Genomic DNA, 12,364 nt, shown 5'->3' on the forward strand with positions numbered 1-12,364 from the left:
AAAGTTTATACCACAAAGAGTCTGTTTAAACAAACACACCTTCCAATCTTAATCAAAATTAAGGTACCCTGAATACCTCCCTCCGCCGCTTCCCCGCCCCGCAGTCAGAACTTGAGGCAGAAGACAAGGCTGCTCGGGCTTACATTTTGTCTAGGAGATGAAAGAGCAATACTCATTAGCAACATACTTTTGTCTTTCTTGTAGCCTTGATTTCAAATCTAGTCGCAAATCATAAGCTTTTGTGTTGCTCAGATGTTCCTTCTTTATCTTAATGAGAAAACTTTTCGGAAAGGGAGCGCGAACTGCTAGATAAGTCAGCTCCCAGGCTGCCAGGAGCGGTGGCATTCCTCGGCTACACCGGACAGCTGCGAGTTTCAAGAGAATGACTAAAACTTTCAAGTCACCCAGACCTCCACTTCCCCTTCTGCTTGCTGCAGAAAGAGATGTAACCTGAATCTTTGTTTAGGTTTGGGTTGGGGAGCGAGAATTTAAAAGTTATGGCAAATGCAGACAGCAGATTTTTTAAAGTCAAGTTAACAGGACATCCCCCAATTTTTTTTTCTTTAGTACTAAACCTGAAGTCAGTTGGCGTGTTCTGATAAAGATTTTAACATGTAGAGAAGGCGGGTTTTCCTGAAAGAGGCGAAGCAATTTCTCCAGGAAAGACTTTCCCCCACACGCCCCCTTCCTTTATATTAGGTTCCACCCTCTGGAAAACAAAACTTTTTTTTTTTTCTTTTCCTGGAGGGACTCAGGAAAAGCTCAGTGCTCACTTCACTCAGAGCTCAGTGAAGCTGGGAAAGGAATTTTAAGAACGGTTCATCAGAAAGTGGTCAGGCCACAGCGGCCTCTTTGGACGAAGACACACTTGTAGCATTATCCTTCTCGGCATCAGCTTTTATTAGTGGATCGGGGCGGGGGAGGGGGGAGATCGGCAGACACGGACAGCCTCTGACCCTCTGGAGTTGGTATGTGATAAGCAGCCCTAGCAGTGCCATGTATTGGAAGAACGATCAGATGTTTGTGTGTAAACTAGTAGCAAAGGACGTGCCGGAGCTGGCAGTTCCCCCTGAGAAGGTGAGCGAGCCGACGCCTGGCCAGACCAGCTGAATCGCAGTGTCCTTGAAACTCGAGTTGTTTGGGCTCCTAAACAAGGTTCAGAAACTACCTGTAACGGCCTCATCTTCAGACCTGGCAATTTTTTTTTTTTATTACGTAGTAGCGTTAGTCAGTAATCATTGCACTCCCTCCCCAAAAGCTCACTTAACCTGAGACATGGAGACTGTAATTTGGGAGATGAAGCCTCGAGCCTAAGGCGCTCTCAGGTCCATGTGAGTCGTGCTTTTGTTCTATTTGCTGTGGTGATCGTGGCGGTCCGGGAGAGTGGGTCGGGAGGACTGGGCGGCTGTCGGGTGGAACCGGAGACCTGGCTCGTTTCGTTCGGCTGCCCGCGGACACTTGCCTGCCCTGAGGCACACCTCCCTCTGCGGGGCTCCAGAAAGGCCTCCGGGATCCCTGGGCTTGCCGGGAGAGCCATTTTACCTAAAATGCCAAAAGAAAACCGCAGGGCACAAAACGAGTCACGCGGTTTGTCTGAGTAGACTGGGGAAGCTGACAAGCTCTCACCTCACTCGGGAGGCAGGACCTGTGGGTATTTGGTGTTTTAAGTTTGAAATCATCTGCAGCCTGTCTGAGGGCCTCAGCAGGACGCGCGCGGGGCGCCCCTGACTATTTCTTTGCTCCGAAGCCGGTTGGGGACACCAGGCGAAAGCGGAGCTGTTCTGTTTAAACGCCCTTTGTGTGTGAGGACGCGGCCTCAGTGCAGCTACGCTGGGTCCCGCGTAGGGAGCGCACCCCAGAAAGGGAGGGTCTCGGCCGACGGTCCGGGAGGCCCCCAGGTTGGTATCTTGCCTGGTGCTTCCAGAGGGAGGGAGAAGGGGAGGCGAACAGTCAGAAATGCAGAAGTGCGAGCCGCTCGAGTTCGGGGTACCCACCCGCCCCCGAGCTAGAGTTTTTGGAAACGAAAGCGGTCTAAGCCCAGGGACGCTGCGTTTTCGTTTAAGAACAAAACTCCAGCAAATACTTGGAAACACTTGAGTAACGCGCGTTGTTTCTTTAAAACATTTTGTCAGAGGTTGGGTGAGTTCTTTTAATGGCACAAATTAAATTCAGCTGGATATTTTCCATTATTCTACCCGCTTTTTGCGCTGGTTAAAAATAATCCTTTAGTAGCTCAAATGTTGACTTACTGAGCAATAAGTGGCAATTTACACCTTAAAGAAACGAGTGTAAATCACTCGCCACTCTAATTGCTGTAAGTTTACGAAAGAGCTGCTGGCTCGGTTTAATCTGAAGCATTTTCATTCAAATTGTCATCGGAACAAACACCAGGCTTCTTAAATCCCGCTGTAATTAGCTTTCAAGTATCCTATTAAACCTCTTCACCTTTCGGGCTATCCTATTCAAAAAGCCCCCTTTTTAAAATATATATGTGTCTTGCTCTTTTAATTGAGGTTATTAAAGAAATCTAGTTTCTTCTCCCACCCCCTCCTCAATCCTCTTTTCTTCTCTCGCACTCCACCTCCCACTGCCCCGCACCCCCTTTAGCCCGGTGTTCCCCGCTCCGCTATGATTGACGTCTGGAAAGAAAGAGCTTTGTGAGGGGATGATTGTTATTAACTTGTTATCCCCGGCGGGGGGGCGGGGAACCGACGTGCCCGGGTGAGCGCCGGAGACCCGGAGCCCGGGGAGCGCGGGACGAGCTACCAGCGCTCGGGTGGCGGCCGCCAGCGGCCAGCGAAGGAGGCTGCGCGCCAGCCCGCCCGCGGCGCCCGGGCTCAGGCGCCGTGACGGCTGCACGCGCTGCCCCGCACTCTGAGGGCCTTCATTAGCTCGCTCCCCGCGCCGAGGCTGGGGCGGGCAGCACGCTCGGAACTTCTGATCTGTTTCTCCATACTTTCTCCCCCTCCTACTCCGCAGTGTCAGGGGCTCATGTCAGAGGAGTGCGGGCGGACTACAGCCCTGGCGGCCGGGAGGACTCGCAAAGGCGCCGGGGAAGAGGGACTGGTGAGTGCGGAGGGGCTCGCGTGCTGGCAAGACTGGCCGTGGGGAGGCGGCGCAGGACGAAGGGCCGCTGTCCCCGCGCTCCTTCCAGGGCCCAGCTGGCCCCTCCTGCAGCAGACAGAGGACGGGGCGGAGAGGGTCTGGGTGGGGTGGGAAGCTTAGCTGGCCCGCGAGGAGGGCAGGGCCGCAAGACTTCTGGGGTCCGAATAGGTCAGGGGTCGGCAGCCCCAGCGGGTGCGTAGCCAGAGCTTGGACTCGGGGAAGAGGGCGAGAATCGTGACCTCAAGAAGCTGGGGGTGGGGTGGGGTGGCCAGGGGGAAGGGAGGGGAGGCGGTGGGGGCGCCCTTGTGGGTAGGTGGGATGCGAAGGGGAGGAGGGGTCTAGAACCGCCTGCGCCTCGCGGTTTCCTGCAGGTGAGCCCCGAGGGAGCGGGGGACGAGGACTCGTGCTCCTCCTCGGCCCCGCTGTCCCCGTCGTCCTCGCCCCGGTCCATGGCCTCGGGCTCCGGCTGCCCTCCTGGCAAGTGTGTGTGCAACAGTTGCGGCCTGGAGATCGTGGACAAATACCTTCTCAAGGTAGGATAGGGCCTCGGGTGCGAGGCCCAAGGGGAGCGGGCTTAGCGTGGGAGCTCTGGGAAAAGAGTAATGTTCCTCCCACCAACCTTTCCGTTCAAGTTCTGGGTGAAGGTTGTAGGCTTTTGCAGAAAATCAGCCCAGTTTAGGGCAACTCATGCGGTGGGATAAAGTGAGAAGAAATCCCAGACTCTTCTATGTCGTTGCAAAACAGCTAATGTGTGACACATCCTGGTCTGGACGCGCCGGATGTGTGTGGATGCGCTGGAGTCAGCCACTGGCTTGTAGTGGAAGGGAAGTGGAAAAACCCTTATCCATTCTGAGACAGAAACCTGCTTAGTTATTTTTCACCCAGCCCCGAATTATTCCTTTCTTAAACATCTTTGTTCCCTCTAAACGGACTGTGGTCTCTCCACCCCAGTGACGCCCACGCCCATGACTGCTTAGAAGAATTTTAAGTTGGTATGTATTAACTGATTCCCTTTTGCAGTGTCTCTTTTGGTGAAAGCCACTGTAAAGTAGCTTAAAGGATCTTTTCTGGACAAATTTTAAAAATACAGTCCTATGTTTTTTTACAGTTACCTGAGGCTTTTCCAAAGTTAAAGTTTATAGGTCCATTTAAATAAAAACCATTTCAATATATTCCTGCTCTTATTAAGGTTTAATACTTCTAGGCCACTCAATGCTGTTGTTACATCATCTTGAGTGCTTGGGGAGAAAATGGAAATTGATATAAAGTTAGACACACACAGCCTGGGAAGAAGTGTTTCAAGTGTGGTTTGAGAGTTGATTGTCTTAATTTGTTTTACTTTTCTCTTAAAATATTGTGGGGGAATTTTGGAGTAGAAATTTTGGCAGGCCACAGTTATCCACCTCAGTGCAGATCATGGTCCCATGTGTCTTAATCAGAATATCATGGGGTTTCAACTTAAATAGCTTTTTAAAACCACTATTTAAAATAATGGTCTCTCCTACACTGAATTAGTAGCAAACCAGTTCACTTTCTATTCTCTCCCCACCCTGCTTAGGTTTTCAAAAGGATTAATTATGGAGAGTATGTGTTCAAAATTCGTGTTAGTGGGTTTCTTTAAGTTTCTACCTCAACATACAAAGCTTCTTCATCTGTAAAATGGGAATGCTACCCTATAGATAAAACCTAGAGAAAATGCCAGAAGAAGTTTTGGTAAAAAGATTTAAAAATGACTAAATTAATCTTACTTGGTGGTTGATTCTTAAAGCTGGCAAATTAACATTGGCTTTCTCTTTAAATCTGCATTCTTAAGATTCCACTTTCAATGTTTCTAAAACTGAGCATTTTGGATATTGCAAAATCATCTTTTGGGTTAAAACTAGCATCCTATTTTTAATGAGCCCTCTCAATAATTACCGTAATCTTTAAGAATGTTTCTGAGTAGACCTATGAAGGCTCTAACACTTCACAGCAGAGAAGATATAGAAGGGTTATGATGAAGTGACATTTAACACAACCTCTGAAATAGATAATAGTTTCTAGTGTTAATCTTGTATACATTTATATATTATATATCTTTGTATTGCATAAAAATCTAAGTTAAGTGAGTTACATAAAGCTTTCCTTTGTAATAGGGCAGGAGTCCTCCCAATGAAGCCTTCCATGTACAGTATTATTGTACCACTTCTTGTATTCTTTAGTGTGTAATTTCTAACTAAAGTTTGATACTATATGATTGACAAAAACTGAATTATTAACCTTTATTTTCCGTTTTGAGTACTTCCTGCAGAAAAGTTTGAGTTTAACTTGAGTCACTGATTTAAAAAAAAAAGTTAGACCTAGTATAGAAATATTATTTTAGGGTGTAACTAATATAGAAAAACACTATCTTGTGAGGCAAATAAAATGGAGTTAGAAAAGTATGACAGGAGTTAGATGCATTGATTACCTTGTCCAATAACTTCAGTGCTCTGTCCTTCGGGTAGTTTTTCTGGCTTGGTCCAAGTTGTATGTTTAGACATACACAGATTAGATTAATAGTAGGTTTATAGTCTCCAGAATCTCCTCTCTTCACCTTACTTTACTCCCTGGCAAAGAAATGGAAGATAAACAGACATTTTAGGAGGGAAGTGAACTTTGAAAAAACGTGACAACCAGGTCTGGCTTTAGGAGGGAGTAAGAGAGAGGCCATGGCTCTTCCCCTAAAGCCTAGCTTTAAAAACAAAACAAAACAAAATCCTGGGTAAGATTGAAATACAGAAGGCCCTAAACAGTGGAATTTTAAAGGAAGCCTGTTCATCTAAACTTTATACTGGTTGGTCCCATTTTAGGAAAAAAATATAAGGAAAATGCTTTTTTTATTTCCAAGGCAGTATTTAACATTGTTAATATTATTTATTCAGATTTCCTCAGATTTCTTTCTGTTTTCATTATTTTAAATATTGTCTATAGTGAGCATGTAAGTTCTAAGTTCTTGTAAAGACCAAAACTTTTTGAATGTCATCAAAATGAGACTCTCATTAATGCTTTGGAAAGAGACACATAACTGTAATTAGAAGTCAGTAAAACTTTCAGCTTCGAAGTACCTTTTATATATTGCAGAAAAACATGTTGGACCGTAGTTCTAATTCGATAGACACATAGTCTTTATTATGGAATAGTTGAGCAAAAGCCATATCTCACAGTCATTTACTTTCCTATTTTAGTCATTGGATCCATTTTTAGGGTGTAATTGGTGTTTTTGTATGTTACTGTTCTTTTACATGAAATTCAATTAAGCATAAATCAGGTTCTTGTGTCCACTTAACAAGAGCAAACTTTGGGAGCCTGCATTGCATGCAAGCCAGTTCTATCTAATACACATCTTCATACTCCAGGGCTAAAGTTGTAGCGCTTGTAATATAATGGCAACAGTTTAAAGTAAGAGTAATTATGACTTGTTCCCTGGATTGACAATATTTCATGTTCCTATTTAGAAAGTATAAAATACTGGCCTTATTAAACACCATCTTATGTTTTACTACTTGAAGTGTAAGTGGAAAACAGTGCTTGAGTGCTTTTTTAGAACCACTTATGATTAGATTTATTTTTTTCTCCTGTAGCCAAATCAGTAAGCAGTTTTACCAATATACTTTTCTACTTATTTCTATTGTTTCTGTTCAGCTGTTTAATATTAGAAGAGAACCCGGGCTTCTGCTACATCAACATTTAAATTTATCTGAGCAATTTCTGTCCTGTATAGGTAACTATCTTATAAACCTGCATTTTCACTTTCTTTATTGCTCTGTTTAGGAGGTATACAGTTTATAATTGTTTAGCCAAAAAATAGGTTGAGAGAGTATGTGTTTTGTCTTCTTTAACCACAAGGTTTCATGCTGGGAAGAACTTGGTAAAATATAACAAAAAAAACCTGTATGTAGGACTTTAAAGTAACCAAACTATTCCCTGTGTTCATAAAGATTCCATTTAAGAAAGAAAGAAAAAGCAACCTGAATTCTTCAAAGGAATAGAAAATATTATAAACACAAAATGTGGCATATATTAGTATAAATTTTTGGTTGAGGTCTAAAAGATAATATATCCAGATACATGTTTACAAAAATGACATCTTAAAAAAAAATGACATCTTTTGGATGAAAACATTCAGAGCATGTGTTAATATATTAAGGGGCCAGTTTTTTAAATTGCCCAATACACAAAACCAATGAATACTTTTCTTAAATATGATATTACAATGGCTTCTCTTCCCTTCACAGGTGAATGACCTATGCTGGCATGTCCGGTGTCTCTCCTGCAGTGTTTGCAGAACCTCCCTAGGAAGGCACACCAGCTGTTATATTAAAGACAAAGACATTTTCTGCAAACTTGATTATTTCAGGTATGCTGTGAAGCTTTTTCTTAGTAGATACTTGAATAAATTATTATGCAAAGAGACTTTTGTAATAGGCTTTTTCTTGTTCAGTTTTATTTAATGAAGCCCAGTTTTTCTTATTTAAGAGATTTCAAAATGAGGGTGCTTTCCTGTTTGAGATATAATGTGTATAAATAAGCATGTTTATCCTTTTTGGGAATTCAGTAGACAAAAGTTAATTTTAAATAATACTTTCACTTTGGGGAGTGAAAGTTTGAGGCATTACAAACAGGGAATCTTTTTTGCTGTACATAGGTATAAAGTATGAAAAACAAGATGACTTATGACAACGCCCCTGTTTGGTGGGAATGGTTAGATGAAATAAAATCATTATGGGGGAGAAAAATCAAGATTTTGTTATGCTTTTAGCAGTTTACCATAGAATGATCCCTACTTATAAACCTATAAAATTCTAAGGGTTTGTACACCATGATAAACTGTAGTATTCAGAAGAATTGATCATTCTGGTATAAATACACCAAATCTAATTCTGCCTCAAACTATTTCTTTTGTCCGATCTTCAGTTTCTGAAATTAGATGAGATATCACATTTTCTGCGTGTGATCTCTGTGTAGTTTAAATTTAAGGTTTCTTCCAAGGTATAATTCTGTATGAACAGTTGTGTAGAAATTAAAATAATTCTCAAGAATGACTTTTAAAAATTACAACATATTTTCTTTATTTACTTTTCTAAATGAAAAATGTTCATTGTAAAACGGGGAAATTAATACTATATAATAAAGGCTGTAATACTAATTTTGTACTCCATTTCAAAAAATGATTTCAAAGAGTTTAGTGATTAATTTGAATAAAAATTGCTAGGTAACTTAAAGTAATTTATGAGACCCAGAGTCTTTTATAAAATCACAGAATTTTATAATTACCAAAAAAGCATATTTCTCAGCAGGTTTACTTTTCATTACTTCAATATTGGTAATAATTTGCTTCCTCATTCACTTGGGATAGGCTAATCTTAATTTTTGGTAGTAACTTAAAGCCCTTTGAAAGGTTTGCTTTGAAAGATTTCACAAGTGAAAGTCTAGTTCTTTAGGATTTTTAAACTCCTTGCTTCATGTTATATTCTGAAATTTGTCTTTAGGATTCTATTTTTCAGAGTAACTAAAAAAACAAAGTGGTAATAGCTTTAAAGATGTATCTGTCAATAAATAGACACTGACTAATCTAGTGTGATTTGGGCATGCAGGGCCACGACTGTGATTGTGATAGGAGACATAACAAAGAGTTCCAGTCACTCAGGCTGTAAGAAGAAAAGAACTATTTACATATAGCTTTGGTATTTTAAGATTGACCTGCATTTAATGTCCAGTTAGGACTCTGAAAATTTAGAAAATATTTCCTTCCTTCTATGGATAACAATACAATAGCTTTTTCACCAAAGGAAACATTTCTGACTTTTCCTTTCTCACCCAACAGGGTGAAGAATTTCTGTTATATACATTCTTTGATAATTTCAACATTAAATATTTACATATTTTAACATCCTAAAAACTATATTTAAATCATTTTCTAATTATCTTAACTTGGTTTTAAGAAGTCATTATTTATATCTTCAGTTTTTCAGTATAAATATCTTCAGCATACTTTTGCACTTTTAGATTTTCAGTCTGGAGAGTATGTGTGTTTATCTTGATTCTTTAAGTAAATTTATAAATGCACTGATATTTGATACAACAAAAGGGATTTTAAAACTCATTTTAAAAGAAAACTTCAATCTTCTTTTAGAGGAACAGAGAAAAGGTCTTATTTTTATAAACAGCTTTGAGTTGTGACCCTATCTCATCTTGATTTCTTATTATATTGACTTTTAGAAAAATAATTGATTCTTGTTTCATTCTCACAATATTTAAATACTTAGGTTATTTCAATGGGGTAAGATAATGTGCTGGTTTAATATTCGACTGATGAATATCTCACCAGGCATTAAAATATTTACCTTCCACACCTCTATTTAATGTAGAAGGTATGGAACTCGCTGCTCTCGATGTGGGAGACACATCCATTCTACTGACTGGGTCCGGAGAGCCAAGGGGAATGTCTATCACTTGGCATGCTTTGCCTGCTTTTCCTGCAAAAGGCAACTTTCCACAGGAGAGGAGTTTGCTTTGGTGGAAGAGAAAGTCCTCTGCAGAGTACATTATGACTGCATGCTGGATAATTTAAAAAGAGAAGTAGAAAATGGTAAATATGTACTTAAATACTTTTGAGTCTTTTGAGACAGTGAATACAGGAATAAAAATAACTTTTCCTAAGGTCATCTTAATGCATTATTTTGTACAATGTATAAGTGTGGTAAAACTCATTAAGTACTCTACTGTTTGTGATGGTCTCTATTTGTTTATTTACAAGGAAAGCCATGGTGTATGTATTAGTTTTGTGCCATATTCTCAGGCAGCAGCTTTGAGTTAGGGTTTTGCTTTTCTTTTTGTAAATAGTTGTTTTCCTGTATTTGCTGGGCCTTAGATGTGTACTTCTAACTTTTTGAACTTTTCACTAAATATACAAGTCTGTAAGTGGAATATTTTTTGTACAGTATATCTGTAGTATGTTTTAAAACTTAAGGGGTTTTGCCGTCTAGAAAACATATACAGTTACACAAAAAGCCAAGAGATATAAGAAACCTGTTATTGTAAGATGGGTGTACCCATTTGAATTACCAACATATATAGTGTGTTTTTTAAATGCAGGGAATGGGATTAGTGTGGAAGGTGCCCTCCTCACAGAGCAAGATGTTAACCATCCAAAACCAGCAAAAAGAGCTCGGACCAGCTTTACAGCAGATCAGCTTCAGGTAAGCATAACAATGAATTTTTTATTTTTGAAGCCCCTCCCAACCAAAAAAACAAAAAGTAACCTCCATGCTGCCCAAAAACATTTTTATGTTTTCTAAAAAATTAGCCTATGTGTTTTATGAAAACTAATTTGGTGAATATATGAAAACATACTTATTGCCCTAAAGTGTTTGCATTTCTAGCATCATAATATAATATGAAATAGTCATTCAAGTTTTGTTTCCCTGGGGTCTATTGGTATCAACATCAAAGTGGAAACAAAGTATTTTGTCCTGACTTCCTGATTGCATCGTTCTGAACCAGGCATTTATATTACTACACATAATTGCAATGGAAGACAAAATATTTTGAGACTCTGAAGAGAGACATACATGTCCCATGTGAGTCTATGGGACGCTAATGTGTTAGTCTTTGTAACAAACTGCAATGAGTCATTTAATGAACACAATTGTACAGTTTTTGAGTAGGAAATAATTGAAAGTGCCTTAAAGTAAATAGGAAACTACTGGTTGACTACAATTGAGCAGATTCCTTTATGTTTTTAAAGGTGGTAAAGGGAGTACTTCTATAATTTGATATTAAAGTTTTATTATGTCCCCTGAAAAGGGAGGGATTTTTTTTAGCTTAGTTGCCCTAAACATGATTGTTATAAATTTGATTTATACAAATTATCAAAATAATTAAATTACTCTTTGCTTTATAAACCTATATAATGATTCCTTCTGGCATTTTTGCAGATAATGAAATCATATTTTCTAAAAGATTAATGTGGCTGAGGTATTTGTTTCATGTTAAGGAAAAGTAACATTTGTTGAACGCCTATCACACTGCTGGGTACCTTATACATAGTATCCATCTTAGCTCAGACTTTAAAGGACATTTATGCAGTGTTAACAAATGAATAAAAGTAACTTTTTCGAAAATCACGTTTAGTATTCTAAGACCTGCCAGTATTTAAGATGGATACAAGTGTTTCAGGAGATAATTTTTATTTTGAGAATGATTTAGAAAAGAAACCTTGATGTGACACACATATTCCAAGGGAACGTGGCAATGGGAAGCACTCTAGCATTAAAATCTAGATCCATTCAGAAGAATTTTCCAAATGGATGATTGTTTCAGATTTCTTAATTTAGGCATAAATTCGATTTCTTAATTTAGGCATAAAGTACATAGTCAATAAGCAAAAAATGAAAGATAAGCCAATTGAAAGAAATATCTCTGTTTGAGCCTTGCTTTCTGGGTTCTTCATTGGATTATTATGAAGATCACACAATGCCCTGTCAGAAGATGTGAGTACTTCTGAAAGACCTGGAAAAATACTCAGTCACTAAAGGTGTCTAGTTAAAATAGAATCTCTAATATAAATCTGTTTTCACAATGGTCTGTTCCCATGAAGGACTGGCTGTAATTTTAATAATTACAAGGTTGATAACTTTCATTTGATATAATAATTTATTATTAAAAATAAAATTGTGAAAATTTGAAACCACTGTAGATAGACACTTTTCTATGGGAAAATAATTACAAATACTAATTAAATAAAATGGGAATAATATTTGTGGAGGTCTTTTTATGCCAAATCCTATACCAGGCATTTATCTACTTTATCTCCTTTAACTTTTACAACAAACCTCATTCAAGAGTGCAGGAACTCCTCAAAGCAAACCACCAAGGGAGTGGTTGAGAAGAGATTTGGAACCTTCTCCTCAAACATCTGGTCTCTTCATTTTGCTTGATCTTCCAGGAGACCATGAGTGGAAGTCTGTCTTATCAAAACTCCAATTAATAGCAGCAGCAGCTAAAACAAAAGAGTGAGATTTTGAATCTTGTAGATAGCCTTATGGTTAAACATGCATAAAATATTTAAGCCTTACATTATGGTATGTAAATGTGATCTAAATCATAAGTTTTAAAAATTGTATATCAGAATTATAGGTTTTAAAAAATGAAAGCATATTACCATTTTCAGATTACTGATGAAAGCATAGGTAATATGCTTTCAAAGTATATTCTCATTCAATATTTATTAGCATTT

The 12,364-nt window shown here is 39.3% G+C and overlaps 1 protein-coding gene across 5 annotated transcripts in view, besides 1 other annotated feature; it reads left to right on the forward strand.

The window, feature by feature from the left end:
- LHX8 (LIM homeobox 8) overlaps window positions 1–12,364 on the forward strand; it is a 71,021-nt gene that overhangs the window by 5,190 nt on the left and 53,467 nt on the right. For 2 of the 5 annotated variants that reach the window (XM_017001316.2, NM_001256114.2), the window contains exons 1-6: window positions 765–1,331; window positions 2,980–3,066; window positions 3,477–3,638; window positions 7,362–7,483; window positions 9,495–9,715; window positions 10,222–10,325. In XM_017001316.2, coding sequence (XP_016856805.1) covers window positions 2,992–3,066; window positions 3,477–3,638; window positions 7,362–7,483; window positions 9,495–9,715; window positions 10,222–10,325 — 684 coding nt within the window. In that variant the 5' untranslated portion in view covers window positions 765–1,331; window positions 2,980–2,991. Of the gene's footprint in view, window positions 1–764; window positions 1,332–2,759; window positions 3,067–3,476; window positions 3,639–7,361; window positions 7,484–9,494; window positions 9,716–10,221; window positions 10,326–12,364 lie in introns of those variants that run through there. The other 3 variants (XM_017001317.2, XM_047421040.1, NM_001001933.1) reach the window with 2 other exon arrangements.
- Window positions 1,070–1,582: an enhancer, noted in NCBI's record as "H3K4me1 hESC enhancer chr1:75600378-75600890 (GRCh37/hg19 assembly coordinates)". NCBI's record gives its function as "activates a minimal SCP1, AML or CMV promoter by ChIP-STARR-seq in primed H9 embryonic stem cells {active_cell/tissue: H9 hESC(primed)}" and the evidence as "EXISTENCE:reporter gene assay evidence [ECO:0000049][PMID:30033119]".

The sequence above is a fragment of the Homo sapiens genome, chromosome 1 (genome assembly GCF_000001405.40).
Source record: "Homo sapiens chromosome 1, GRCh38.p14 Primary Assembly".
In the NCBI taxonomy this organism is placed as follows: domain Eukaryota; kingdom Metazoa; phylum Chordata; class Mammalia; order Primates; family Hominidae; genus Homo; species Homo sapiens.